The 27,713-nt window shown below is 37.5% G+C and overlaps 1 protein-coding gene across 17 annotated transcripts in view, besides 1 other annotated feature; it reads right to left on the bottom strand.

The window, feature by feature from the left end:
• Positions 1–27,713, bottom strand: part of LRRC4C (leucine rich repeat containing 4C) — a 1,345,454-nt gene that overhangs the window by 1,056,044 nt on the left and 261,697 nt on the right. The window lies entirely within an intron of this gene.
• Positions 24,369–24,541: a silencer, noted in NCBI's record as "fragment chr11:41216161-41216333 (GRCh37/hg19 assembly coordinates)". NCBI's record gives its function as "represses an EF-1alpha promoter that drives an FKBP-Casp9 reporter gene in an ReSE screen in phorbol 12-myristate 13-acetate-treated (for megakaryocytic differentiation) K562 erythroleukemia cells {active_cell/tissue: K562(+PMA)}" and the evidence as "EXISTENCE:reporter gene assay evidence [ECO:0000049][PMID:32094911]".

Consider the following 27,713-nt stretch of genomic DNA (forward strand, 5'->3'; position numbering starts at 1 on the left):
GGAAAAAACTACTTTAAAGTTCATATGGAACCAAAAAAGAGCCCATATTGCCAAGTCAATCCTAAGCCAAAAGAACAAAGCTGGAGGCATCACGCTACCTGACTTCAAACTATACTACAAGACTACAGTAACCAAAATAGCATGGTACTGGTACCAAAACAGAGATATAGACCAATGGAACAGAACAGAGCCCTCAGAAATAATGCCACATATCTACAACTATTTGATCTTTGACAAGCCTGACAAAAACAAGAAATGGGGAAAGGATTCCTTATTTAATAAATGGTGTTGAGAAAACTGGCTAGCCATATGTAGAAAGCTGAAACTGGATCCCTTCCTTACACCTTATACAAAAATTATTTCAAGATGGATTAAAGACTTAAATGTTAGACCTAAAACCATAAAAATCCTAGAAGAAAACCTAGGCAATACCATTCAGGACATAGGCATGGGCAAGGACTTCACATCTAAAACACCAAAAGCAATGGCAACAAAAGCCAAAATTGACAAATGGGATCTAATTAAACTAAAGAGCTCTGCAAAGCAAAAGAAACAACCATCAGAGTGAACAGGCAACCTACAGAATGGGAGAAAATTTTTGCAACCTACTCATTGGACAAAGGGCTAATATCCACAATCTACAATGAACTCAAACACATTTACAAGAAAAAACAAACAACCCCATCAAAAAGTGGGTGAAGGATATGAACAGACACTTCTCAAAAGAAGACATTTATGCAGCCAAAAAACACATGAAAAAATGCTCATCATCACTGGCCATCAGAGAAATGCAAATCAAAACCACAATGAGATACCATCTCACACCAGTTAGAATGGTGATCATTAAAAAGTCAGGAAACAACAGGTGCTGGAGAGGATGTGGAGAAATAGGAACACTTTTACACTGTTGGTGGGACTGTAAACTAGTTCAACCATTGTGGAAGTCAGTGTGGCGATTCCTCAGGGATCTAGAACTAGAAACACCATTTGATCCAGCCATCCCATTACTGGGTATATACCCAAAGGATTGTAAATCATGCTGCTTTAAAGACACACACACACACGTATGTTTATTGTGGCACTATTCACAATAGCAAAGACTTGGAACCAACCCAAATATCCAACAATGATAGACTTAAGAAAATGTGGCACATATACACCATGGAATACTATGCAGCCATAAAAAGGATGAGTTCATGTCCTTTGTAGGGACATGGATGAAGCTGGAAACCATCATTCTCAGAAAGCTATCGGAAGGACAAAAAACCAAACACTGCATGTTCTCACTCATAGGTGGGAATTGAACAATAAGAACACATGGACACAGGAAGGGGAACATCACACACCGGGGACTGTTGTGGGGTGGCGGGAGGGGGGAGGGATAGCATTAGGAGATATACCCTAAAACTTAACGTATAATAATAATAAAATTTTAAAAAAAGATAAACTAGATATTTTTATTTGCATGACTTGCAAGTAGGTTAAACTTCCCATAGCAAAATTTCCAGATGAAATTGCAAAATAATATTCCTTACCAAGATTTAGATTGGTGGGTTTACTTAACTAGAATTAGCAGGTGACCCAATCTGGATGCTTCTGGTCCTAATTATGACAAGCAGACTGAAAAGGCATGTAGATACTGAACGACCACCAGGCCAGCTGCTGGGAAAAACAGTTACGGCATCTCACCTCATTATGTACGTTTCTGATAAATATTCTCCTGAGGTTTAATAAGCTGCTTTCTTATTACCTAAAACTCTTTCAGATCTGCCACAGAGAAGGTAAAAGGCAAATGATGATCCAGCAACAGAGACAAGATAGGAGCAAGTGTGATTATTTTGAGATGACTCAAATTAGCCTAGAGTTAACAAAGGGTGGCGGAGGGAGAACTGGCTGACAGACTTACTTGCTTTTCTAAAACTTAGTTTGAGAAAACATTCAATGTGCCAAGCTACAAGAAAGCCAGCAATTTTACATTCTTAATCAATAAAGTCTGAATGCCATCAATTCAATATTCATGACAGGAAATAAAATTGCTGCCACATCTTAAATTATATAGCCCTTAGAAGCCCATAAAATATTGTTCTGCATTTGCTTTCCTGACCTTTGTATACCACAAGGCCATATGCTTTTGAAGAAGTTGCTAATTCTACCAGACTCACTGGTCTCCCAGAGCACAATCACAAAACCATTCTGAGGTTCTTGCCTATTCCTTTCCTTCAAAGGTCACTTCTCCAAAGAGTCCTTCCCTGATAAGACTCAGTGCCTAGCACATCTATCTTTGATCTCTGTACTGACAACATTGGATTCTTCCTTTTATATGCTCACACAGTCCTTGTAATTTTATTATTTCTCAGCTCTTACACCATTAATTTTTCATTCATGGCCTATTCCAAATTTATTTCATTAAAATTCCTCTCCTCCAACCAGAAGCTAAACATCGTGCCTATGGGAAATACCCTTTAAACAGTTTTTACCAATTTATTCCTTGCACTTAACACAATAAATAGAACATAAGTATTTTTAAAACTTGACTGAATAAGTGATTAATGCAATTGATAGTTTCTATCATTCTATGCTATAGTCTAAGAAAATTAAGAATTCTTAATGTAGTAAAGTTATAAAATTACAAGATACAGAAATGGAAGGGGCCTTAGATATTGTTTATTCCAACTTCTCTGCTTTCTAGATAAGGAGACTGAGGCTAAAATTCCGAGATGGGTCCAGAAACCCAAGTTCCCCCAGTTAGTTAGTGACAGAAACTAGATATTTGGAATCCATCACCAATAGAGTTTCTAAAAAATTGTTGATAGGTCTGAAATACAGGTGGTTCCTACAACTTCTGCAGGCCATTCTCCAAAATAGTCTCCTGGACACCATTTTAAATTTATTACAAATGATCCAGTGGGGCCAATTAGATAAACCAATTCCTTATATGAGATGTGTTGTAAATGCAAATTAATTATAAAGAGGCTTCTCCTTTAGTGCATTATGATTGTCTAGGACTAACCCGCAGCTCTTTGTAGACTAGCTAACATGAATAATTGAAAATGTAAAAGCTGTAGATTCAAAACTACCAATTTTCCCAATCCCTTCTCTGTAGGGAGGGGATCAACTTAAGTTTAAATTAAAGCCAACCTGAAATTCTATTGAACATTAACATTTCCTGCCTCTTTATTTACCCTTTGATATTCATGCTAGCCATCAGCCCTATTGAATGACTGACTCTTTGCAATCCTCAAAATGGGCCTAGCCATATTCTATTTTATTTCAAATGTTTTGCAAATGCTGTTGCTCTTACTTCAAGTGAGTTTGTTTCCTTATTGGTCTAGGTAGCTCATACTTATCCTTCAAAATCCAAGTCGAAAATCATTTTGGAGCAAAGAGCCTCTTGCTTTCTCAAGACAGAATTCATGTCTCTCTCCATTGACACCATAGCCTACATTCTTTTCTTCCGATATTCCTTTGTAACCTTGTCACTAATCTGCCACCCCATCTGCCTGGAGACAGTTAGAAACTAAAGATCTTTGTCCTATTTAATCTCTCTAACTTCAGTGCATGACTCAGTGTTAAATGTTTATATTTTTATTTAAAAATTATGCCCGAGGACTTTTTAATAGTCCTAAAATGAACAAAATAAATATAAGCAAATAACAAGATATTTATTATCAGAAAATATGTCAACTTTAAAAGTTATAATGTTTATCAGAAATCACAAGCTTCTGCATTCCCAAATACATATAAATTGTGCATCATGATGAGTGACCATTAATTTGTCAACTACAGGATACCTAATCATATCAATATAATTTATTCTGCAACAGATGACCAATGAAATCATATTGCCTATTTTGTGATACCTATGCTAGGCACAGGAAAAAAAAATAGTTCTGAATGAACAGGCAAATAAACTGATCATAACAACAGCATCATAATTGAACTCATTTGTGTATTGAGCTTATCAAGTTATTTATGTATGAGTTATGCAATATGAATAAGCTTATCACTTAAGGTCCCTAAAAAATAATTAAATGGAGAGAACAGTTTATCTCTAGCTAAAATTTTAGACTTTACTTCTGATTATTGATTCAAATAACAGAATAAAATAAAGATGCAAATGCCTCCTCTTGAAAAGGCCACAGATCTTAAAAATAATGTATTATGAAGTCTTCTGTACATGCAGAATGAATATATAATTTATATTATAACTGATTCAGTCTTTAGTGTAAGAAAATAATAAATAAAAATATAAGTCATATTTTGGACTCCCCAATTCAGTGTTTGTTGTCTGGAATCAAATCTGCCTGGATTTTTTTTTAAATTCTGCTCTGTTTTCCAGGATTATGTGCTATTGCAATTTTCTGTCATCATGTATTTACCAGTTAACCAGCATCATCCTGGGACATGCTCAACTGCATTTTGAACACACACATTCAGTGTGATCTCATCTACAATTTTGGTTTAAATGATCAACTATATCCTAATATTTCACATGTTTATACCTTTGGCTCAGAACTCTTTCTTGAGCCCTAATTTGTTTTTTTTAAAAAAACAAAATGTCTACCTATACCTAGACTTGGATCTTAGAAAAGCACCTCAAATCCATCATTTCTAAAACTGAACCATTTTTCTTTCATAGTCTTAATGACAATATTCTCACTTTAATATTATATATCCTGCCGATTTCATGCCACAAACCAGAGCATTTAATTAATGCCTTTAATTAATTAAATTAATTTAATTAATGCTTTTTCTTTTCATTCACATCCTTATATCCTATCAGTTACCAGGTTCTCTTGGTTCTGCTGATCAAATACATTTTGAATCTGCACATTTTTTCTTCCTATTCCCACTATGAATGCCTGTAGTCCTGCTCTCAGCCACTATTCTCCCATCTGATATTTGTAAAAAATACCTGTGATTCCTGCAACTTCTCTCAGTTAGATTCCTCCAGCAGCCTTGAAACTGGCCTCAAGGCTTCTGGTCTTTCTGACTCCAACCCAGTTTTTTCACAGCAACCAATATAGTCTATCAAAAAGTCATTTTACTATTTTATACACCTATTGATTATTTTTGTTATTCCTGAGAGTCAAGCTTATTCTGCAGGAGGAAACAATTACCAAATGTGAATGGCTTAAACAAATAAAATAACATTTTTTTCATGCAAACTACATGTCTAAAGTAGTTCAGCAGGTGACTCTGATTGTTACTGGCATTCAAGGATCCAGGCTGTTGGAACTTCAGTGATCAGATCACTGAATCCTTGCAGTAGGGAGGAATGTAATAGTGGCTTGTAAGGGTTCTGCTTGGATGTAAAACATGTCACTTCCACCTACATTTAGTCAACCAGAGCAATTCAATGGCCACCCTTAACTTCAAGAGGGTGGATAAATTCAACCTTACTATATGCTGAAGAAAAGAGAAGCAGACTATTTGTGAATGACATAAAGGACTACTACAGCTTTGTATTACTGTAGCAGTAAAATGTTTACTTCAACACAATTCTAAGGTCCCAGAGCTCCCTCTGCAGCTTCTCTTCCTGACACTCTTTAACTTTTTACCCAAAGTCCTCAAGATACTATTCTTCCTGCAATCCTTTGAATACAGAACATTCATCATCCTACATGTTCTCTTTCTGACTCGATCTCCTTTCCTCTTCTCAGCCTAGCCAGCTCTTACTTTCTATTCCAGTTTCAGTATAAGAAGCATTTCTACCAGTAGGACTTCTGTTATTCCCTTTTACTCTTAAGTACTCGTCCTACGCATTCCCTGACTATAATAGAATATTTTTTTTTCAGTTTACTGCACCTTTAACTGTCCATCTTCGCCAACTAAAACTAAAAGTCATTATAGCAGTGACTGCATGTGTATAACTGGATTCTATTGCATTCTCATAGCTGCCCAAAAACTAACACAAAGTAAGCATTAATTAAACATTTATTGAATAAATATATGATATTTCTTCACCAGTTAATTTATTTTTAAAACCTGGTTCATTTTAGTAGACTCATGGAAGAGCCTAAGTACATTGGGAATACCCGAACCCAAAAAGAGCTTTTTCTAAGTCTTTATAAGAAGATAAGAAGGAGAACCATCTAAAGACAATAATCTTTAAAATTTAAAGTGATTAAACAGATTCCTTTCTCCTATCTTTCACAATAATTCCCAGTCAATTACTTTGCATATAATGTGGTTTATCATAGTGTTCATTCATCAGTCCTGCATCCATTCATTCAACAAATTTATTGCATAACTATCAAATGTCAGGTGTAGTTCTAGACATGGTATATATAGCAGTGAAAAAATACTGGCCAAATCCCTGCTCTTATACTTTAAAGAAGAAATTGACAGTAAATAAATAAGTAATATTTATACTATATCTAATAGTTATAAATACTGTAAAGATAAAATAAATGAAGAATGGAGCTAGGAGAGGCTAGGGTCTAGGAGTAGGAATGAAGTTTTAAGAATAGTCTTTGGGAGGCTGACGCAGGCGGATTGCCTGAGCTCAGGAGTTCGAGACCAGCCTGGGCAACGTGGTGAAACCCTGTCTCTACTAAAATACAAAAGAAATTAGCTGGGCTTGGCAGTGTGCACCTGTAGTCCTAGCTACTGGGGAGGCTGAGGCAGAAGAATTGCTTGAACCTAGGAGGCAGAGGTTGCAGCGAGCTGAGATTGCGCCACTGCACTCCAGCCTGGGCGACAGAGTAATACTCCATCTCTATAAAACAAAACAAAACAAAACAAAACAAAACAAAACAAAACAAAACAAAACAAAACAAAAACAGAAGAATAGTCAGGGGAGTCTCCACTACCAACTGATCCAGGACCTGAAGAAGGAGATGGAGTGAGCTACCATATCTTGAGGAAGAGGTTTTAGCCAAAGGGAACAGCAATGCAAGGTCCTTAAGGAGTGGATATGTCTGGCATATTTGACTTATAACAGAGGATGATGTGGCTGGATAAGAGAGACTGAAGACTGAGTGGTACAAGAAGAGTGTATGTTCATCAACGGGGAATAACCTGGTAGAAAAGTGCAAATGGTAATTATAGGGAAGCGTTTTTGTTGACTAACCTAAGACAAGATACAAATTTGCTTTTTTTGGAAGGAAAATGGAGATATTGCTTTTCCTACTTATGAGTACTGAGAGTCCAAGTTGGTATTCATTTCAGTACCTCTAGGGAAGATGTTGAGATAACTCCAACTGGCCTGCAGAGGTCTTTGTATGATCACAACTGGTATAACAATATAATGGAATTCAATGATCTATTATCTCACCTATCTGCCTATGTGCTCCTCCCTCTCTACCTTCAACCCTGGATGACTATCTTGATACTTAAGTGAATAATATTCTGAATCAGGGCCTTCATTTGGATGAGTCAATTCACTAATGATATGAAATGTTGACTCCCCTGCAATCAGAAGTGGGTTACATCCCAAGCCTTCACACTCAAACTAGAAATTCTAATTTAAGCACAACAGTAATGACTTCCATTTATATAGTCATTTTTCTCCAGAAGTATTCCAAAGTGCCTTAACAATTATATATAGGCAATCACATCGCCCACTACTAAAACACAGTCATGTCTAGAGGGAAAATGCAGTAACTGTTTAATAACAAACAGTAACATAACAAGAAGTAAAGATAAACACTTTAACAAATCCCACAGCCAAGTGTGAGGGGTGGAGAAGAGGTCCAACTAAGAAGCCAGAGTTACCTCAACTCGGAAAAAAGCCAAGATACCGTGGTTAAAGCCTGCATTTCTATATAACATGTCACCTCCTATTTAGTGCATGACAGGGCTCAGTATAAAATCTCCAGTGTCTCCCAAGCCCATTACATCACTAAAGCATAAATGTGGAAACCAGTTACCATATGTTGGCCTATTGAACGAGAACATTGTCTAGATATAATCCAACATGCTTTTACTGCTTACTCCAAACTTGCCCTATGAGTGAGTTAAACTGATTCAAATATTCTTTGATAATGCAGGACAACCAAAGACTAAATCCATTGTTTCTTAAATGCTTACCCATAAGACAGCTGTCTTAAATTCACCAGGGTAGGTTAATAAAAGTCCAGATCCATGGGATTTATGCCACACTTTCTATGTTGTTGTTGTTTTTTATTTTTGAGACTGGTTCTTTGACACCCAGGATGGCGTGATCATGTAATCATAGCTCAATGCAGCCTTGAACTCCTAGGCTCAAGCAATTCTCATGCCTCAGCCTCCTGAGTAGCTGGAACTACAGGGGTGCACCACCAGGTCTGGCAAATTTTTGTACTTTTTTTTGTAGAAACAGGGTCTTGCCATGTTGACCAGGCCAGTCTCTAACTCCTGGCCTCAAGCAAACTGCCCATCTCAGCCTCCCAAAATGCTGAGTTTATAGGCATGAACCACGTTGCCTAGCCCCAGACTTTCTAAATCGGATTATTTAAAGGTGAGACCCAGGAATCTGTTTGTTTGTTTGTTTTTTGAGACGGAGTCTCGCTCTGTCCCCCAGGCTGAAGTGCAGTAGCGCAATCTCAGGTCACTGCAACTTCTGCCTCCTGGATTCAAGCAATTCTCTGCCTCAGCCTCCCAAGTAGCTGGGATTACAGGTGCCCACCACCATGCCCAGCTAATTTTTGCATTTTTAGTAGAGACAGGGTTTCACCATCTTGGCCAGGCTGGCCTTGAAATCCTGACCTTGTGATCCACCCACCTCAGCCTCCCAAAGTGCTGGGATTACAAGCCTGAGCCACCGTGCCCGGCCAAGAATCTGGTTTTTAATATGGTTTATAAGTAATTTGCATGGTCCTGTATTGGCAGATTTGGATAGCACTGGTGCAGCTAGATTAAAAAGTGAATTAATAGCTATGGGAAATAAGAGAAATGGATAATAAAGAATGAGAGAGATAAAACATGTACATTTAGAAAAGGAAGCAATCCTCAAGCCTCTTTTTTTTTTTTTTTTAAGATATCTGTGGTTAGGTCCTTGAAATCTAGTTCCCTGTGAGCTAAAAAGCATTCAGGGCAAAATTCAGACTTTGAAGATGGAAGAGATTTCAGAAGTTATGTAATCTAACACTCAGTTTACCAAGTTAGAAACTGAGGATGGATAGGTCATATGATTAAGGCTATAATGGCAGCTTTGGATACTTTCTAATGGTCTTTCCATCAAGGCCAAACCTATCTGGCCTGAGGGCCTGATCTGGAAGCCAATTTCACCGTGGTTGCCTTCAGTAGTTTTCTGACTTTCTTCTCATTAACTATCTAATTCACCCCAACAACAGTTATATACCTCTCTACTTTCCTCGTATTTTATTTCCTTTCTCTTCTGACTCTTTTCTCACATTCACCAAAATCTGACAGACTTAGTCTTTGGTTCACTTAACATTGTTTTCGGCAACAATTACAAACCATTTATGAGTTCTCACTAAGATAGAAAGTCAAAGCTAGATAGTAGGTATACAACTGTTTCCTACAACACAGAATATAAACTTCTGAAATCTGAACTGTTAAGTAAGCTCTAGTCACAATTTTGACATTAATTGGCTTTATAGCATAGATACCAGCCATTCATGTACTGAATACCTATTTATTGAGTATCTTCTATGTGATTGGAATTGCTAGGTGTTGACAAAAACACAGGCAGGTTTTCTTCCACCTAGACATCAGGGTCAACAGAAAGATAGCCAGTAAACAATTACATTAATCACTATGGTAAGAGCCATATAGTAAATGTAAGGGCCGCTGTGGGACAGGCACCCTATACAGGACTGGCGGGCATGCAGGACCTAGTAGAAGTTTCAAGAAAAACTTCAAGGAAGTGATATGGAAGGGAAAATCTAATAGTTGAGTAGGAATTAGGCAAAGGGAGAGTGTGAAAAATGTTTCAGATAGATCTAAAAACACAAGCAAACTTCCTGAGCTGGGAAAAGAAGCTAAAAGGTCAATGCGACTAGAGCAAGGGGAGACAGAGGAAGAGAGCAGAAAATAAACTCAGAAAAGAAAGCAGCCAGATCACAATATTGTGCAGTAATTGCTGAGTAACTTGGAGATAATCCAACCTGCCACCAGGTTATTGTTTGCATCCAGTGAGGTATTTCTTGTGAGAGGATAAAATAACAGTAATTTTAGCAGCTGTGCAAAAAAAGGCATTGTAAAAAATTTAAGAGATTTTATAAATAAACTTGCTGTTTCTCCTTTCTCCTAGAGAAAAGAACTTTGATCCAGAGGTCTCCAGCAGAAAAAAAGACTAACTAACTCACATTTAAAACAAATGAGAGTGAGAGATCGTCCGCTTCCACTTGCCCTTTGCAAAGGAATCAGGAGCAGAATTTAAATGTGTGTGGGTGTGTGTCTGTGCGCACATGCACGTGCATGACTTACTATGCCATTTACCAAGTCTTTAAAATGGCCACCCAATACTGATGGTGCAGTACTGCTGCCCTGACTAAAGTCACTCAAGGGCTGAGCTGGTGTCTCATGGTATTGCCTCACAATTTTCCCCATTAAACCACAGAGACATGGCCCAGATACAGATCTCTGTCCTGTTAGCTAATTGGTATCATTATCCTAAGATATCTTCTGCTATCGAAAAATCCCTGCCGCAGAACATCAAAAATGTGGTACAAAATGACACAGAAATCAACTTCCTGCTTGATACACTAAGAAGTGATTAAAAAAAAAATGGTTAGATCTTAGCGCACATCCTCATGAGTTGCGAATTCTAGTTAGACATGTATTCGTGCAGACTCAGTTACCAGTTCTCATCTTTGGGAGAAGAAAAAAAAAGAAAAGTTTTAAGAATGTTGGTAATTAATAAACTAGGAAATATTAATAGCCACAGAATGAACTGTTTTCTTATTCAGTGAGTGAAATAGCATTCCCTTTGCATTCAAAATGTTTTCTTCTGTGGTTTGGCCATAGGGAAATCAAGACAGTATGTTTTCTTATTGCCCTTACTGTGACCCTTTAATTTTCTACCTTACCTTCTCCCCCACAGCCACTTACACACAACTTTACCAAAATGGATATTAGATTTTTTCAGGGATTCTTTTTATAAACACCGAATCTGGAGGAAGGAGAATCTGATGCATACTGAAACAGTGATCTCTGGAAAAAACAGATTTTCCAGAGGGGGAAAAAAAGGCATCCAACGCCATATTCTCAATGTTCCTGTTTCCCTGAGCCACCACTGGTCTCATTAAATACCCTCAGAAAATAAATTTCCCTACACTCAAGAACTAACTGCTGTTATATAGGATCCCCAAGCTCTGCTGAGCTCCTTTAGAAAAGTATTGTTGTTATTACCCTAATGAGTTAGAAAGAGAGACATCTACCTTAACAATTAAAGGGTGAGGATCAATTCCTGGCCTTAATGGATATCCTCAGAGTATTACAGCAAATTAGTAGTTGAACAAAAGAGACTCAATTCTTAATACCCACAGCAGCTCAGTTTGAGCCTTGACTCACAAATGAGCTACAGCAATCTCATCTCTTTTCTAGTCCTTCAAGATCATCTTCCATTAATGAGGTAAATCTATAATACTAACCACCATCACTTTGCTACTTTCCTAATGTTTAAAAGCAAGTCTGATTCTATGTGATTTTTATCTAGTTCATAGACTAGCTCATTTAGTATATGCTAATGAATTTCTTTTAAAGAGGAAAAAAAGACTCTTTACTTAAATTTGTTTTCCCTTTGAGCTATTACCTGAAAAACCATTCCAGCAGCCATTAAAACTTGTCAAAGGAGTTTACAGTGATGATTTCAGTATAAGTGCATCCCAATTCACAGACCCAATTGCTAAACATTTATTTTTGATGTATTTGTTGTTTACGTATTCTAGGATATTATAACTATTTAATGGTCATGTTGGAAATACTTTTTTAAAGCAATTATACTCATAGACCAGGGAGATGAAAATAGCATCTGATAGAGAATAAGAGACTTATTGATACCATTTATATGCTCCAGCTGACACAATTATCACAATTATTTTGGAAAAGCAAACACTAAAGCAATTTCCAGTTGTGTTCACTCATGTGATTGTACATTCCAGTGAAAATACCTGAAACCATAAGAATCTACAGGGGAAATTATATTAGTGACACAGAAAGTTGAATATCTCTGAAATTTCAGGCCATATGAAAACTACCAATTTATCTCTACTGTATACTATGGATTGAAGAGAAAAATCATTATGTCTTCAAGTTGAAAAACCTAGGTTCAAGGTCTGACTCTGTCAAGTCCATAGGTATACAATCTTGTATAAACAATGTTTCTGAACCACAGTTTCCTTATTGTTATATTATTGATAATAATAATCTATTTCATGAATTAAAAACACTATGAAAATGAAAATGTATGCTAGGATCTCTAAAAGTCCAAAATCTTTTTATATTTTTAACTGTAGAAGGAGGAGAATTTAGCTGAGTTATTTTTAATACCTCAAAAAATTCCTTGTTATGTACAATGCTGATAGAACTGTTCAATTATCTAATAACTTCAAAATATACTTAACAATTCTGTCTCCCGTGATGTATTTACATATTATTACTATATTAGTCTGTTTTCACACTGCTGATAAATACATACCCAAGACTGGGCAATTTAAAAAAAAAAAAAAAGGTTTAATGTACTTAGAGTTCCACAAGGCTGGGGAGGCCTCACAATCATGGGGGAAGGCAAGGAGGAGCAAATCACATCTTACATGGATGGTGACAGGAAGAGAGAGAGAGATTGTGCAGGGAAACTCCCATTTTTTAAAACCATCAGATGTCATGAGACTTCTTCACTATCATGAGAACAGCACAGAAAAGACCCACCCCCATGATTTAATTACCTCCCACTGGGTCCCTCCCATGACTCGTGGGAATTGTGAGTTACAATTCAAGATGAGATTTGGCTGGGGACACAGCCAAACCATATCATTCTGCCCCTGGCCCCTCCCAAATCTCATGTCTTCACATTTCAAAACCAATCATGCCTTCCCAACAGTTCCCCAACGTCTTAACACATTTCAGTATTAACTGAAAAGTCCACAGTCTAAAGTCTCATCCAAGACAAGGCAAGTCCCTGCTGCCTATGAGCCTGTAAAATCAAAAGCAAGTACATTGTATGTACTTCCTACATACAATGGAGGTGGGGCATTGGGTAAATACAGCCACTCCAAATGGGAGAAACTGGCCAAAACAAAGGGGCTACAGGCCCCAGGGAAGTCTGAAATCCAGCGGGTCAGTCAGATCTTAGAGCTCCAAAATGATCTCCTTTGACTCCATGTCTCACACCCAGGTCATGCTGGTGCAAGAGATGGGTTCCCAGGGTCTTGGGAAGCTCCAACCCTGTGTCTTTGAAGGGTACAGACTCCCTGCTGGCTGCTTTCACAAGCTGGTGTTGTGTCTGCAGCTTTTCCAGGCACATGATGCAAGCTGTCAGTGGATCTACCATTCTGGGGTTTGGAGGACAGTGGCCCTCTTCTCACAGCTCCACTGGGCAGTGCCCCTGTAGGAACTCTGTGTGGGGGCTCTGACCTCACATTTCCCTTCCACACTGCCTTAGCAGAGGTTCTCCATGAGAGCCCCATCACTGCAGCAAACTTTTGCCTGGACATCCAGGCATTTCCATACATCCTCTGAAATCTAGGCAGAGGTTCCCAAACCTCAATTCTTGACTTCTGTATACCTGCAGGCTCAACACCACATGGAAGCTGCCAAGGCTTGGGGCTTCTACCCTTTGAAGCAACAGCCCAAGCTATAACTTGGCCCCTTTTAGCCATGGCTGGAGCAGCTGGGACACAGGACACCATGTTCCCAGGCTGCACACAGCACAGGGACCCTGGGGCCAGCCCACAAAACCATTTTTTCCTCCTAGACCTTTGGGCCTGTAATGGGAGGGGCTGCTGTTAAGACCTCTGACATGCCTTGGAGACTTTTTCCCCATTGTTTTGGGGATTAACATTCAGCTCCTCATTATTTACGCAAATTTCTGCAGCCAGCTTAAATTTCTCTTCAGAAAATGCGTTTTTTTTTTTCCTGTCATATTGTCAGGGTGCAAATTTTTCAAACCTTTATGCTCCACTTCCTTTATAAAACTGAAGACCTTTAACAGCACCCATGTCACCTGTCACCTCTTGAATGCTTTGCTGCTTAGAAATTTCCTCTGCCAAATACCCTAAATCATCTCTCTCAAGTTCAAAGTTCCACAAATCTCTAGGGCAGGGGCTAAATGACACCAGTTTATTTGCTAAACATAACAAGAGTCACTTTTGTTCCAGTTGCCAACAAGTTCCTCAACTTCATCTGAGACCACCTTAGCCTGGACATTGTTGTTCATATCAGTATCAGCATTTTTGCCAAAGCCATTCAACAAAGTCTCTGGAAAGTTTCATACTTTCCCACATTTTCCTGTCTTCCTCTAAACCCTCCAAACTGTTCCAATCACTGCCTGTTACCAAGTTCCAAAGTTGCTTCCACATTTTCGGGTATCTTTTCAGCAACGTCCCACTTTACTGGTACCAATTTACTTTATTAGTCCATTTTCATGCTGCTGATAACTGCATACCTGAGACTGGGCAATTTACAAAAAAAAAAAAAAAAAAGGTTTAATGGACTTACAGTTCCACATGGCTGGGGAGGCCTCACAATCATGGTGGAAGGCAAAGAGGAGCAAGTCATATCTTACGTGGATGGTGGCAGGCAAATAGAGAAAGAGAGAAAGAGCTTGTGCAGGGAAACTACCATTTTTTAAAACCACCAGATCTTGTGAGACTTATTCACTATCATGCGAACAGCATGGGAAAGACCCACTCCCATGATTCAATTATCTCCCACTGGGTCCTTCCCATGACACATGGGAATTGTGGGAGTTACAACTCAAGATGAGATTTCGGTGGGGACACAGCCAAACCATATCAATTATATATGTATATTACAAATTTAATATTATCTATTCAAAAAATAAATAGTAGGTAGTATCAAAGATTATTCTAAGAATTACATATGAGTTGGTGAGAGTCTATTCCCAAAAGGGATAAAATATACATTATCAATTACTAAAATGATTAGGGCAGAAGTAAAGTAGATCAGGGTAGAGAAAAAACAAGAGATCCACCCAAAGCAAAAATCCAAACTATATAAAGGACTTTGGATAAGACAAAGTACATATCTCCAAAGAAAGGAGAGAAAGAATGGATGATTTCTTAAGTGTTTGTAATCTGTAGAAGCAAGTTAGGAAAGTAAAACAGAAAATCTGCATGTAGTTGCATGTATAACCTCACCCTATATCAGGTCTGACAAAAAATATTGAATTTCATATTTCAATGCGGTCAACTGAGAGGGATTTTCCTGGAGGACAGTATTTAGTGGAGAAAAGGTTGGGAAGGGCAGGTAGGAAGGCCACTGTAAAGGTTCAGGGCTGTCTGTCATTGAGAGAGACCTACTTACAAAACTTGTATTTGCTATCCTTATATCCTTATATTTATAATTTCCCAAATAAATGAATATACTGCACTAAAGTATATTCATAGAGGTAAATACTTTTAAAATATTTCTAAACTATAGAAAAAAGTCACAAATTAAAAGACCAACAGATTTGAATACACAATTGTTCTATTATAGCAATGTAAAAACCAAAATTTTAAAAAAAGAAAAAAAGATGTAAATTAAATTAAAATGTATTAACACCTATATAAAAATTATTCATTTATGTATATATGTAATAATTAGGACTCCAATAGGTATATTAGAAAAGAGTATAAAACAGATAAGCCGTACAGAGAGGTAAATATAGTAAATAAACACATAGAAAAAATGTCCAGCCTTGATAATTATAAAAGATAGATAAATGACATGAATGTAGTATAAAATTTTGTACTGATTAAGGAAAAAGAATGCTTAAAGTCTTAGTGTTTTGTCTGATGAAGCCAAAAAAAGGAGAAAGACTGAAAAACAGATACAGCTTTTAATTCAGTAAAATCAGTAAATGCACAAAAAACTAAGTTTAGCATCAGCACAGTAATGAAAAGGAAAATGTAAATTATATATGCCTCAGTAGAGAAGTGGTTAAGTATATTGAAGGCAGCAACCAATAAAATCTTTTAGTGCCACTAAATATAGCTGCTGTGGAAAATATAACAGAGAAAAATTTTATAACCATATTTCAAGTTAAAATGTAAAATATAACACTGTCTAAAAGTTAATATAAATACATTCAGAAAACTTGAAAGTGAAAGGAATTTAGAAAAATTAAACTTATAGTTGGCTCATGGGTTAGGCACTAGGTTTCTTTGTATCTTTATCTTTAAAATTCCTTAGATATTGATATGTTGTGATTTCACTGTGATAAAGAAGCATATTAACAATGTTTTGCACATCTCTCCTGAACACTGGGTCGGAGGTGGGGAGATGAGAGTTAATTTGAAACATACTACTTAGTAATCTGTATTATCAAATAAATGTTCACCCACTATTTATCTAGTAACATCAGGAAGTACTATTAATGGAACAAGAACATAATTTCAACCAAAATCTAAATTACGCCCTGAGTCACAGTGATGGATTCTTTCAAGACATTTTGATACCGTTTAGGTAGTCACGTGTGCCTTGTTTCCTAAGGATTTTCTATGGCTTTAGCTTACTGTTTCTCAATCTCTTTTAAAATTCACAAAAGTAGTATTTTTCATTCTAGAAAGTATATACGTCTGATAAATCAAACAGATAATTCTGGAAGAACCCTGATTTTTTAATTATATACACCTGGACCCAAACCCAGATCTAAAATGTACAAGCAGAGTGACCTTGGACATGTTAATTAAGCTCCCTGATTATATACATTTTCATCTATGAAATTGTGATAATAGCAGTGATATGGGAAGGGGAGCAGGGGAAGTGTTGGGAAGGGGAGGGCATGGTCCCTGGATAGGGCTCCAATCCCAGGCCTGTGCCCAGGGACGAAGGTGAGGACAGGCACTTCTGTTTTCATGCCCAAATGTTGTATTTCCCAAGACCACCTTGGCCCACCACACCCCCATTATGTGTCTGTACAAATCCCGAGGCTGTAGCAGGCATGCACACAAGTGTCTGGACGTTGAGAAGAACACACTGGCAGAAGAGGACACAAGTAACTGGAAGTCGAGAAAAATGCACTGGCGAAAGAGCACACCAGCAGACCCAGCAGACCACAGACCAGTAGAAAGACGTGGAGTTTGGCCAAGGCATTTGGAGGTAAGCCTAGCCACTGAGTCGCCCAACTCCAGGGGAAAACCACCTTCCCACTCCATCCCCCTTCTGGCCTCCCCATCCTCCTTGCTGAGAGCTACTGCTCAATAAAAAAGCCTTGCACTCTTTCTCCAAGCCCACGTGTTATCAGATTCTTCCAGTACACCAAGGTAAGAACCCTGGGATACAGAAAGCCCTCTGTCCTTGCAGTAAGGCAGGGGTCTAATAGAGCTGATTAGCACAAGCCACCTACAGATGGCAAAACTAAAAGAGCACCCTGTAACTTGCCCACTAGGGCTTCATGAGCTGTGAGCATTCACCCCTAGACGCTGCCGTGGGGCCGGAGCACCACAACCTGCCCATCTGCATGCTCCCGCTAGAGGTTTGAGCAGCAGGGTAGCAAAGAAGTAAGCCACATACCAATTACACATCCTGTGAGGAGGATAAGGGAACTTTTCTCGTTTCAGCAGTAACTACCTCTTGGTTTTGCTATAAATGACATCATATCTGAACAGTTTACATACATAATAAGTGGCAGTAAATGTTAATTTCTTTCTCTTTTCCATTCTCATGTTATGAATAGAACAAGAGTGAACTCAAAGAGACTGTCAATCAGTCTCAGCAACACCTATCCAGTTTTCACAAATTTCCTGTTTAACTTTGGATTGAAGATACCCTCCCCTTCCTCTCCCTTCCCCTCCTCCCACCCAACACACAAACACAGACTTCTTACTTCTTTACCAGGAGACATTCTGTGCTGTTGAATACAAACATCACTGCCCAATTGGGGAAAGCAAGAATTCCCACGTTTACAGTTTACCTGCAGTTAAGCAACATATTCTTATTTTTTAGTTGCTTTTCTATGTCTCCTCTAAGTAAGCAACTAAAAAAATAATTACTCTTCAATAATACATGTTGAGATGATTTTCCAAAAAAGCAGCATAGCGTAACAAGGAAGACTGAATAGTGAGGTAGCCAGAATGGAGCCTTCGGAGTTAGACTACCTGGAAGCCAATCCCAGCTTAATCTCTTACTGGCTATGTGATTCCAAGCAGAAGTAATAGATCTATGTACAAATTTTCTTATCCTTTAATTAAGAACAATAATAGCAATCATTCATAGATGGACTGTGAAGATCAGGTGAGCTGATGATACTTATAACACTGTCTACTCATGTGGTACTGTTTGATCAATATTAGTTTTTTTATCTCTTCTAAATGAAGGGGGAGCCTAGAAAGAGAGGAGAAAAAGAAGCAAAAAAAAAAAAAAAAAGAGTATAATGCAATGATAAAGACTGGTGAAATAAATGGTTTCTAAAATGTATTAGCTGTTTGGTTTTGGGCAGGTTATCTCTAAGCTTAGCTCTCTTACATATAGAACCATATATCCTTGTTGTTATGCTTTCATGAGAATTGTAAAGAAAACTACTTTTTAGCACAAAACAGGACCTGCCCCCCCCCCCAAAAAAAAGTATAATTTATGTTGGCAATTTCTTAAACTAATAAATGATTCTTATTAAATAAAAATTATAACCCACGATCAAGCCAAACAGAACCACAGAAATCAATAACAAGAATATTTCTTGTTCACCTATGGTCAAAAGACTGACTCACCTGTTTTCTCACTCATTTATTCAACAAAGATTTATAGGGCACCTTTATGTACAAAACACAGCTCAGCTATCAGGATACCACAGTGAATGAGACAAAAAAGCCTCTGACTTCACAAAGTCTGTATTCTACTGAGAGATAAAAACAATGAACAAAAGTGAAAATAATCATTGAACATGGTCAGTGCTATGAAGATGCTGTGATAGGTTAGTCTGAGAAATCCTTTCTGAGGAAGTGGCAGTTAAGACAAGTAAAAAAAGACAAGACGTTTCCTGGCTGAGGGAACAAGAAGAATAAAGGCTTTGAGGTGAGATAGACCTTGCGGATTATGTGATCCAAGAGAAGGGCAATGTGACTGGAAAATAGAGGAACTGTGTTTGTAGAGCTGGGTAAGGACCAGACTATTTAGTGTCTGCCACAGTGATAAGGAGATTGGATTCCTGCAAAATGGGAAAGTTTAAATGGGAGGATGATGCGATCCCACTCACACTGAAAAATACTGAAGACTTGGCATTAAGAATGCAGCAGGATTAGAAAGAAAAAGACTAAAGGAAAGGTTTACTCAGAGGGTATTTTAATTAAGATGACCACATGCCCCAAGGTGATGGCAGAGGGCTGAAGAGAAATGGACAGGCATAAGGTATGAAATTAGAATTAGTGATATGAGAGGGGATGAAAGAAGTAGGTCGTGTGAAGACAAAGGTGCAATGAGAAACTAGGAAATAAACTACAGGGATAATGCTTTTTACTCAAGCAGTGATCTATTTCAATTCTGCCTAGCTAGCTCCCATTGCACTGGTCTGCTGTCACAAAGCAGCTTTTTGTCTCCACACTGACGTGCCTTTATTCAGGATGGCTCTAGGATTCAATGTGCTAGCCACACTTATTGGGTTGCTCCCTGACAATTTGCCTAGTGCTGTAGTTAAGCAGTTTTTGTGTCCATTGTTCTATAATCAGATTGCAGACAGCAGAAAACAGGGAAATTTCTAATAATCATGCATGAACATGTGTTATGTAATAACTGTAAAAACGGACATTCATAACTTTCTGTGTGATACAATATAAAGCTACTGACACTTTTGCAAGGACACTAGCTTTTTTTTTCTGTAGAAGTAGAGAGGTCTACTTATGCTGTTGCCCTGATCACTTGTCCTTCCACCTGAGCCTGAAGACAGACGGAGGACAAGAGAGAGGAAGGGTCACAGAGGTGAAATTTAAACATACTTGTGCAATGTAAACAGCTTCATCTGTTAATGGCCTTGGAAACCTTATAATTAAGGCAAACTGGCAAAGCAAACAGACTTTGACCTGTCTTTTTAGGGTGTAAACAAGAGGGAGAATCCAAGCATTTGCAGGAAGAACACTGGATAGAAAACATCTCTCGGGCAGGGTTTTATTCATCTTGTTTATTGTTGTAATAGCACAATGCCAGGTGCTCAGCCTAGGTCGCAGGAATGAATGAAGCAAGGAATAAATGTTTCCTTTCACTGCATTTATCACGGTCAGAGAACTGTGCACATAGATTACCCAGTCCTCACCAATGCGGATGCATTGGCTAAACAACGGTAAAATGACGTATGCTCGGCTGCGTACATTTGTGTTCGTCTACACTTGCATACACAAAAATATATCAGCAAACCAGATACTTGATGTTTAAAATCTGAAATGACGTGACACTAGTTTGGCCGTAGTTTATTTTCAAACATGCTGTATCTGCAGAATGTTGGGTAATGATGATGAAAGCCCTTTCAGAATAATTACAGTCAAATCATTTAGCACCAAGCCACTTCTGAAGCTCACTGTCACTCGTTCGGCTCCTTAGAAATTAATGTCTCTCGCTACAGTAAGGAAAGTACTCTTGCAGTAACTTACTGTTGTATATCCAGATAATGAGAATTTGAATGATGAAGTGTGATAGCATCAGCTGGCCTTGGCTCATCTGTATTTCTAATTGATTACAGTAATCTGTTTTAACCCCTCCCTGGCCTCTTTTCTCCCAGCTATTTTCTCTTTAAGGGCAAAGTGTTTTTATTCTGCAATCTGTAGAAATGTATCTTAATAGTGGCTTATTCTGTTCAAGAATATTGCTTTGCATTTGGTCCCATGCAGTCCCATTGTTTCTATTTTGAATTAGGGCAGATATAACTAAGCTACGGTTTCTTAGAACCACACTTTGCCTGGAATTTTCTGTCATTTACAGTGAGCAAAGATAATCTACATCAAGTGTCAGGAGCCTGCTGTGGACTCTCTACTTTATTTATGCCATGCAAAAACGTTCCTGATTTTTCACTGGCCTTACACTTGACCAATTATAGAAGAATTATTTGCCTGATTAAAGTCACTCTTTTCCCTTCAACTACCAATTTAACTAAACTCATCTGTCTTTCAGCCTGTTGGTCATCTATGAATGGTAGTGAAAAGAAAAAGTGGACACCAGTTTCTATCATTACTGCCAAAGTTTATAGTGACTCTGTTCAATTGTGAACAAAGCCTTAGAAAGAACTCATTGCAAAGATATTAGGTCATGCTAAGCAGAAGGTAGCCCCAGAGGAGATCTAACAGATTTCAAACTCCTATCTTCAGTTAAACTTTAAAGGGCTATTGCATTACAACTCGGGTGCTTTAGAATGGGTAGTAGATAAGATGAATCCTGGGCATCTCCCACCCAACTTCTCATCAAGCAGAGCAGTTCTACTTTTGTCCACTTTATTTATTAATGCATAAGATATACTTGGAAAAGGGTTCTGCAGCTTAAAAAGAGGAACCACTTGTCTGGGGCACAGATCCTAACTTTGGAATTAGATTCAACAGTTCTAAGCAGCTATGGTACCACCTTGCTTTCTGACTTTGGAAGTTACATCTAATTTCGGTGCCAAAGGAAGACATTAATTCTGAATGGTATTCTCAAGTGTAAGATGGTAATTAAAATTGCTTGTTATGTATACTTCATTCAGATCATTTTCAGTTACTATTCCCTTGGACCCTAGATAGCCACACAGCACATCACTCACTTCATTTAGGTTTCTGCTTCAGCATTAACTTATTGAAGTGTCTTCTGTGGCTATTAATCTAAAATAGCACATACCTCATTTTCCTCAATGTGTTTACCTTCATAGCATCTGACTTGGTACATACTAATTTTTGTTATTGGTTCATTAAGGTCTTCTCATGCTTGCATGTAAGCCCCAGGAGAGCACATACTTATCTTTTTCACTTCTTTTGTCAGAACTGGAATATTGTCTGGCATACAGCATGAATTAAATGTGTGTGTGTGTGTGTGTGTGTGTGTGTGTTCAGTACTTTACAGAATTGACAACAGGGCTAATCAAGAAGATCATACACACACACACACACACACACACACATATATATACATAGAAATGTATACACACACACACACATACACATATATAATTTGTATATATTTGTTCAAAGAATGAATCAGTACCCCTTATTCCCCCAAATCTGTATCACCTGGTTATTACCAAATAAATAAGAAAAAAGAAAAGAAAATTTGTGATGCATCACTGTATCTGTACCAGCAAGAACAAAAACCTTGCATATTTTGAAAAATACCTGTATATCTTGTCTTAAAAATGCAGCTTTTACGTGAATGCAGAATTGCTATGAAAAAGGCATACCCGTAGAGTCAGAATCGAGAAAAAGCAAAATCATTACAGGACAACTTAAATCCAAAGTAAGGTTAAGAATCTAAAGCTGGGGAATTTATGGCAGCAAAGGATGGTTTGATAATTTTAGAAAAGGTTTTGCTTAAAAAATGTCAGGATAACAAGAGAAGCATCTTCTTCTGATCAAGAGGCAGCCCATAAGTCCCGAGATGCCATTAAGAAAATCATAAGGGAGAAGAATATCTGCCTGAACAGGATTTTGATGAAGACAAAAGTGACCTACTCTGGAAAAAAATGCCACAAAGAACATTTGATGGTAAGAAAGAGAAGGGATAGTCTAACACTATTGTTTTATGTGAATGCAGTCAGGCTTATGATGAGGACTGCCCTTATCTATAAAGTTGCTAATCCCAAGACTTGAAGAGAAAATATAAATACTAGCTACCAATCTTTGGGTTGTACAACAAGAAGGTATGGATGATGAGAACACTTTTTCTGTATTGTTTTCATTGATGGTTTGTACCTGAAGTTGGAAAGTACCTCTCCAGAAAGGAATCTCTTCTTAAAGTTTTTCTTGATAATGCCCAAGACTGAAGGAATCAGAGTCATCTACTTGCTCCTAAAAACCATCTGATTCAGTCTCTAGATGAGAGCATTGTAAAGACCTTTAAAGCTCATTACACATCATATTCTATGGGACGAATTGTCAACACTATGGAAGATAACCCCAATAGACCAAGCATCATGAAACTCTGGAAATGCTACACCATTGATGATGCCATCGTTGTTATAGAAAAAGCCATGAAACCCATCAAGCTAGGAAGAAGATATTCTTGTTGGAGAAACTGTCTCCAGATGTTGTATGACTTCACAGGATTGACAACAGATCCAATCAAGACAATCATGAAATGAGTGAAGGGTATCAAGACACGGATCTTGATCTAATTAAACACCAAATAGTCATCACATCAGAGGAATTAACCAAAGACATCTTAATGGAGATGAGTGCTTCTAAACCAGTGCCAGACGAGGTAGAAATATAAAAGAAGCAATGCCAGAAAACAAGTTGACATTAGTCAATCTAGAGGTGTTCTGATTATTCAAGACTGATTTTGCCTTTTTTTTTAACCATATGGACCCTTCTATGATACTGAAACTAAAGCAAAGGGTGGAAGAATAATTAGTACAATATAAAAACATTTTTAGAGAAATAATACAGCCAAAAAGAGAGAAATTGTGATTTTTTTCATAAAGTCACATAGAGTGTGCCTACTGGTCTTGCCTCCCCTTCCATCTCCTCCATCTCTTCTGCCAGTGCCACCCTTGAGACAGTAAAACCAACCTCTCCTCTTCAGCCTACTCATCATGAAGACAAGGATAAAGACCTTTATAATGATTCACTTTTATTTCATGAATTGTAAATGTATTTTCTCTTCCTTATGATTTTACTAATAAAATGTTTTCTCCAGGTTCCTTTATCATAAAAATACAGCATATAGTACTATAACATACAAAATATGTGTTATTGGTAAGGCATTCAGTCAACAGTAGGCTATTAGTATTTAAGTTTTTAGGTAGACAAAAGTTAAACATGGATTTTCAACTGTGTGGAGGCCAGTGCTTCTAACCCCTATATTGTTCAAGGGTCAACTATATATGATAATATGAGTATAGAGACATAAAACTCATGATTGTCTCCTGGTATTCATGTCTTTATATAATCCCCTCAAGTATGGATGCAACCTATGACTCGATTCTAACCCATGGAATATAGCAAGGTAACAAGATGTACATCATTACATTACCTGAGATGATAATGACCATTTTGCCAGGAGATTATTTCCCTTGTTGGCTTCGAGGAATCAAGTGGCCATGTTGGACAGGCTCATGTTAGAAGGAACTGAGGCCTTGAGACTCTTAGCTAGCAAGAAGCAGAGGCCCCCAGGCCAACAGCCCACAAGGAACAAAACGATGCCAAAAAACATGTGAGCTTAGAAGTAGATCCTTCTCTGTCAACGCCAGCCAAGACTTTGATTGCAGCTTTGTAAGACCATGAAGCAAAGGGCCCTGTTAAGTTGTGTGGCACTCCTAACCCACAGAAACTATAATATCATGAATGTGTGTTGTTTTAATTCACCACATTTATAGTAATATTGTTATATAACAATAGATAAATAATACCAGATATGGAATATGTACTTGCTGTAATGGCAGGTTTATCAAATGTACTGATCCTAGTTCCTGCGGAGGAGAAATAGTTAACTGTGCCTCTGAAGACAGGATTTCTAATTTTGCAGAGCCCACCAAAGTGGTAATACTCACTAAGATAAAAAAAAAAACTGATGCTTTACTTGGCTGTATATTTACCCATCTTACTATTGTGAAGTAGGCAGAGACCTGCTTCAGACATAGTTTCTCTTTTGCTCCCCTGTATTTTTTCTCCTCATAGGCCCCTCCATTCTGTCACAACTTAATTTCCCCAGGTTTTCTCTTTAGGTTAACAAAACAAAACACACTGTGTGTGCATGCCCTTTGTAAATTGCCCATTAAAGTAAATACTATTTAAATTAGTCTTGTCAGAACTTGGCCTGATAATTTCATGAATTCTGACTTTACCAAATATAAACTAATAGATAATCACAATTCAGCTATCGAAAAAAGGCATCATTAATTAGTCTGCATAGATAAAGCCATTTAAAAAAACAAAATTATTAACAGTGCACAAAATGTCAATTCTCAATGGCTGTCAAACTGGAATGTTTCAGAAACTGACAATCCACTGGGAAAAGGACTATCAAGGAGATAGACAAATATCTTTCTGCCTTTAACTTTAGTAAGCTTCTCATCATGGAGATATTTCCCCCCCCAAATTATAAAGCACATACAGTCCACCAATAGCAAGCTGATACAGGTATGCGTTGACTTAGAGATGATATGTCTATTTTATATTCCCATGAAAGCAGACACAGAATAATCAATAACATCAGAAAGAGCAGTTTACTTTATATGGAATGGAGGAAGGCCTTATACGAACAATGAAGTGAGCAAATGTATGAAAGTGTAAAAGGAGCAAGTTTTTTTTAATCAATAAATCTCTTTAAGTTTCCTTTATTGTGTCTTCCTTTTAAGTCAGCATATACACAAAATTGGAGTCGACAAGGTCTCATTTGCAGATGCAAAGTTGTTTTTGTGCATCAAATCTAATTTAACAAACATAGAAGCTAAGCCCTTTGAGAAGGAAGGAAGTCTCATCTACTTTCTGCTCAAGGATCCCTTCTCGAGAAAACAACCATTGATGAGACTGATCTTTTACCCTTATTTCATCCTTTGATCTAACTTTTTAAAGTTTGTTGCTTTCTTTGCTTATTTGGACACAATAGAAGGGGCAATCTCTGTAGTTAATTCCATGACATTTATAAATGTCAATTGGAATATTTCCAAAATGTAGTACTGTCAGTGTATGAGCACCTCATCCTGAAGTTTACATAAAATCTAAAGACATTCTCCCTCAAGTCAGTGTATGTGTTACACTGGACTTTTTGTTTGAAGACAGAAACACAGAGGCTGGCCACTCACTTTTGAGCGTAGGAAAGAAACAGCATTTAAAAATAAAAGCAGTTGTTACTAATCAACTAGACTAGCTCCTTCATTTTCTAGATGAGGAACAGGAAATTAAATATCTTATCCAAAGACACTCATCAACATAAGAGTAATGTGATGACAAGAACTTAAATCATAAACTTACACAGTGATGATTTGCAGTTTTCTAAGTTGAGTTTATCAAACCCAATCTTTAGGCCATAGGAGAGATTGAAAGAATGAGTTCATTGTTAAATAGAAGAGGAATAAATACTTGATCACTGATAGTTACCAAATACTTATGAAAGATATTAATTTGGGCAGTTCTATAATGAATAAATGAATGTATACATAAAATGCAAGAATGAATAGATGGATAACTGGATGGACAGCTGAGTGGGTAGATAGATGAATAGATGGATGGACAGATAAACGGATGCATGAATGAATGGATGGGTTGGTTGATACCCATCCTGCTTATGTGGGATGGGTGTGCTCATGTGATTCTCCAAAATTACTGAAGTTTTTCTTTCAGGTCAGCTTCACCAGGGACTAAAAATTCATTTACTGCCAGGATCTAATTAATTTTTAGTAACTCCTGTTCCCAACTTTCTGCAGGTAGAAAACTAAATGCCTGATAAAAGATCTTTATTCCCATGTCAGACACAATGGATTGAAAGGAAGAAAGACATTAAAGTATTAAAATGGATTTTTATTATTCAGTTTGAAATTCCTTCTTTGATTTCCCCAGCCTAAACATTAAGAATAAGAAACAGAGCTACTGGTAGGAATCAAGGAAATTCTGTGCATGGAAGTACCACTTTGCTAAGACAGCAAACAAGTTACAGCTACACTTCCCTTCAAGTGATAAAACTGCAATAAAGAAAGGATTTTTTGTTGTTCCTGTTTGGCAGTGGATTCATCCACAGATCTCTATACCCACAAGCATTCTTCACGGATACAAAATAAGACACACTATTTTAGAGGATAATCCCTTTCGCTGATAAAGCCCAGATTCAGATTTTTCTATTTCTAAGAGATGCATGTGATGGTGGATTCTGATGCCTATCCTGACATTGAGGAAGACAGGCTTATCATTTTATTGGGCTCTGCAACCTGGCTGGTACCATGCTAAAAAATAACTGTTGGGAAATAACAAGAAAGGAAAATCTATTTGCTTGTCCTACACATCACTGTGTCCTGTTCTCTAGAGGATTTGCAGGTGTGAAATTATTCCCCAGAGATACTCAAAAACATCAAACAGCACCTCTTTTAAAGGGAATCTGCAGAACCTTCTGAAATTCTTTACTAGCAAAATATAGAGATAGAGATTATTTTTTCTCCAGAGACAGATGGAATTTTTTTTCATTGACATTAGATACTTCCTTCTGCATTTTCCCTAATAGGTGATGAATTTTCAGATATTCATTATTCTCCTGGCCTCTTCCAAGTTACTTCTCTCAAGATTTATTCTCCTCAAACTCCTTAAAATAAGGAAATAACATTGTCATTTTGGGTCTTAGTTTGCATGGTAAGATAGGAAAAACAATGCCTACATCATGGAAAGGTGGTAATAGATTGCAAGCAAATGGCTCATCACAATGCCTGACATCTGGAAAATGCTCAGTAAATGAAAGCTGATATCAATAGCAATGAAATTCACCACTACCTCCTCGTCACTGCCATC

Source organism: Homo sapiens, chromosome 11 (assembly GCF_000001405.40).
Source record: "Homo sapiens chromosome 11, GRCh38.p14 Primary Assembly".
In the NCBI taxonomy this organism is placed as follows: Eukaryota; Metazoa; Chordata; class Mammalia; order Primates; family Hominidae; genus Homo; species Homo sapiens.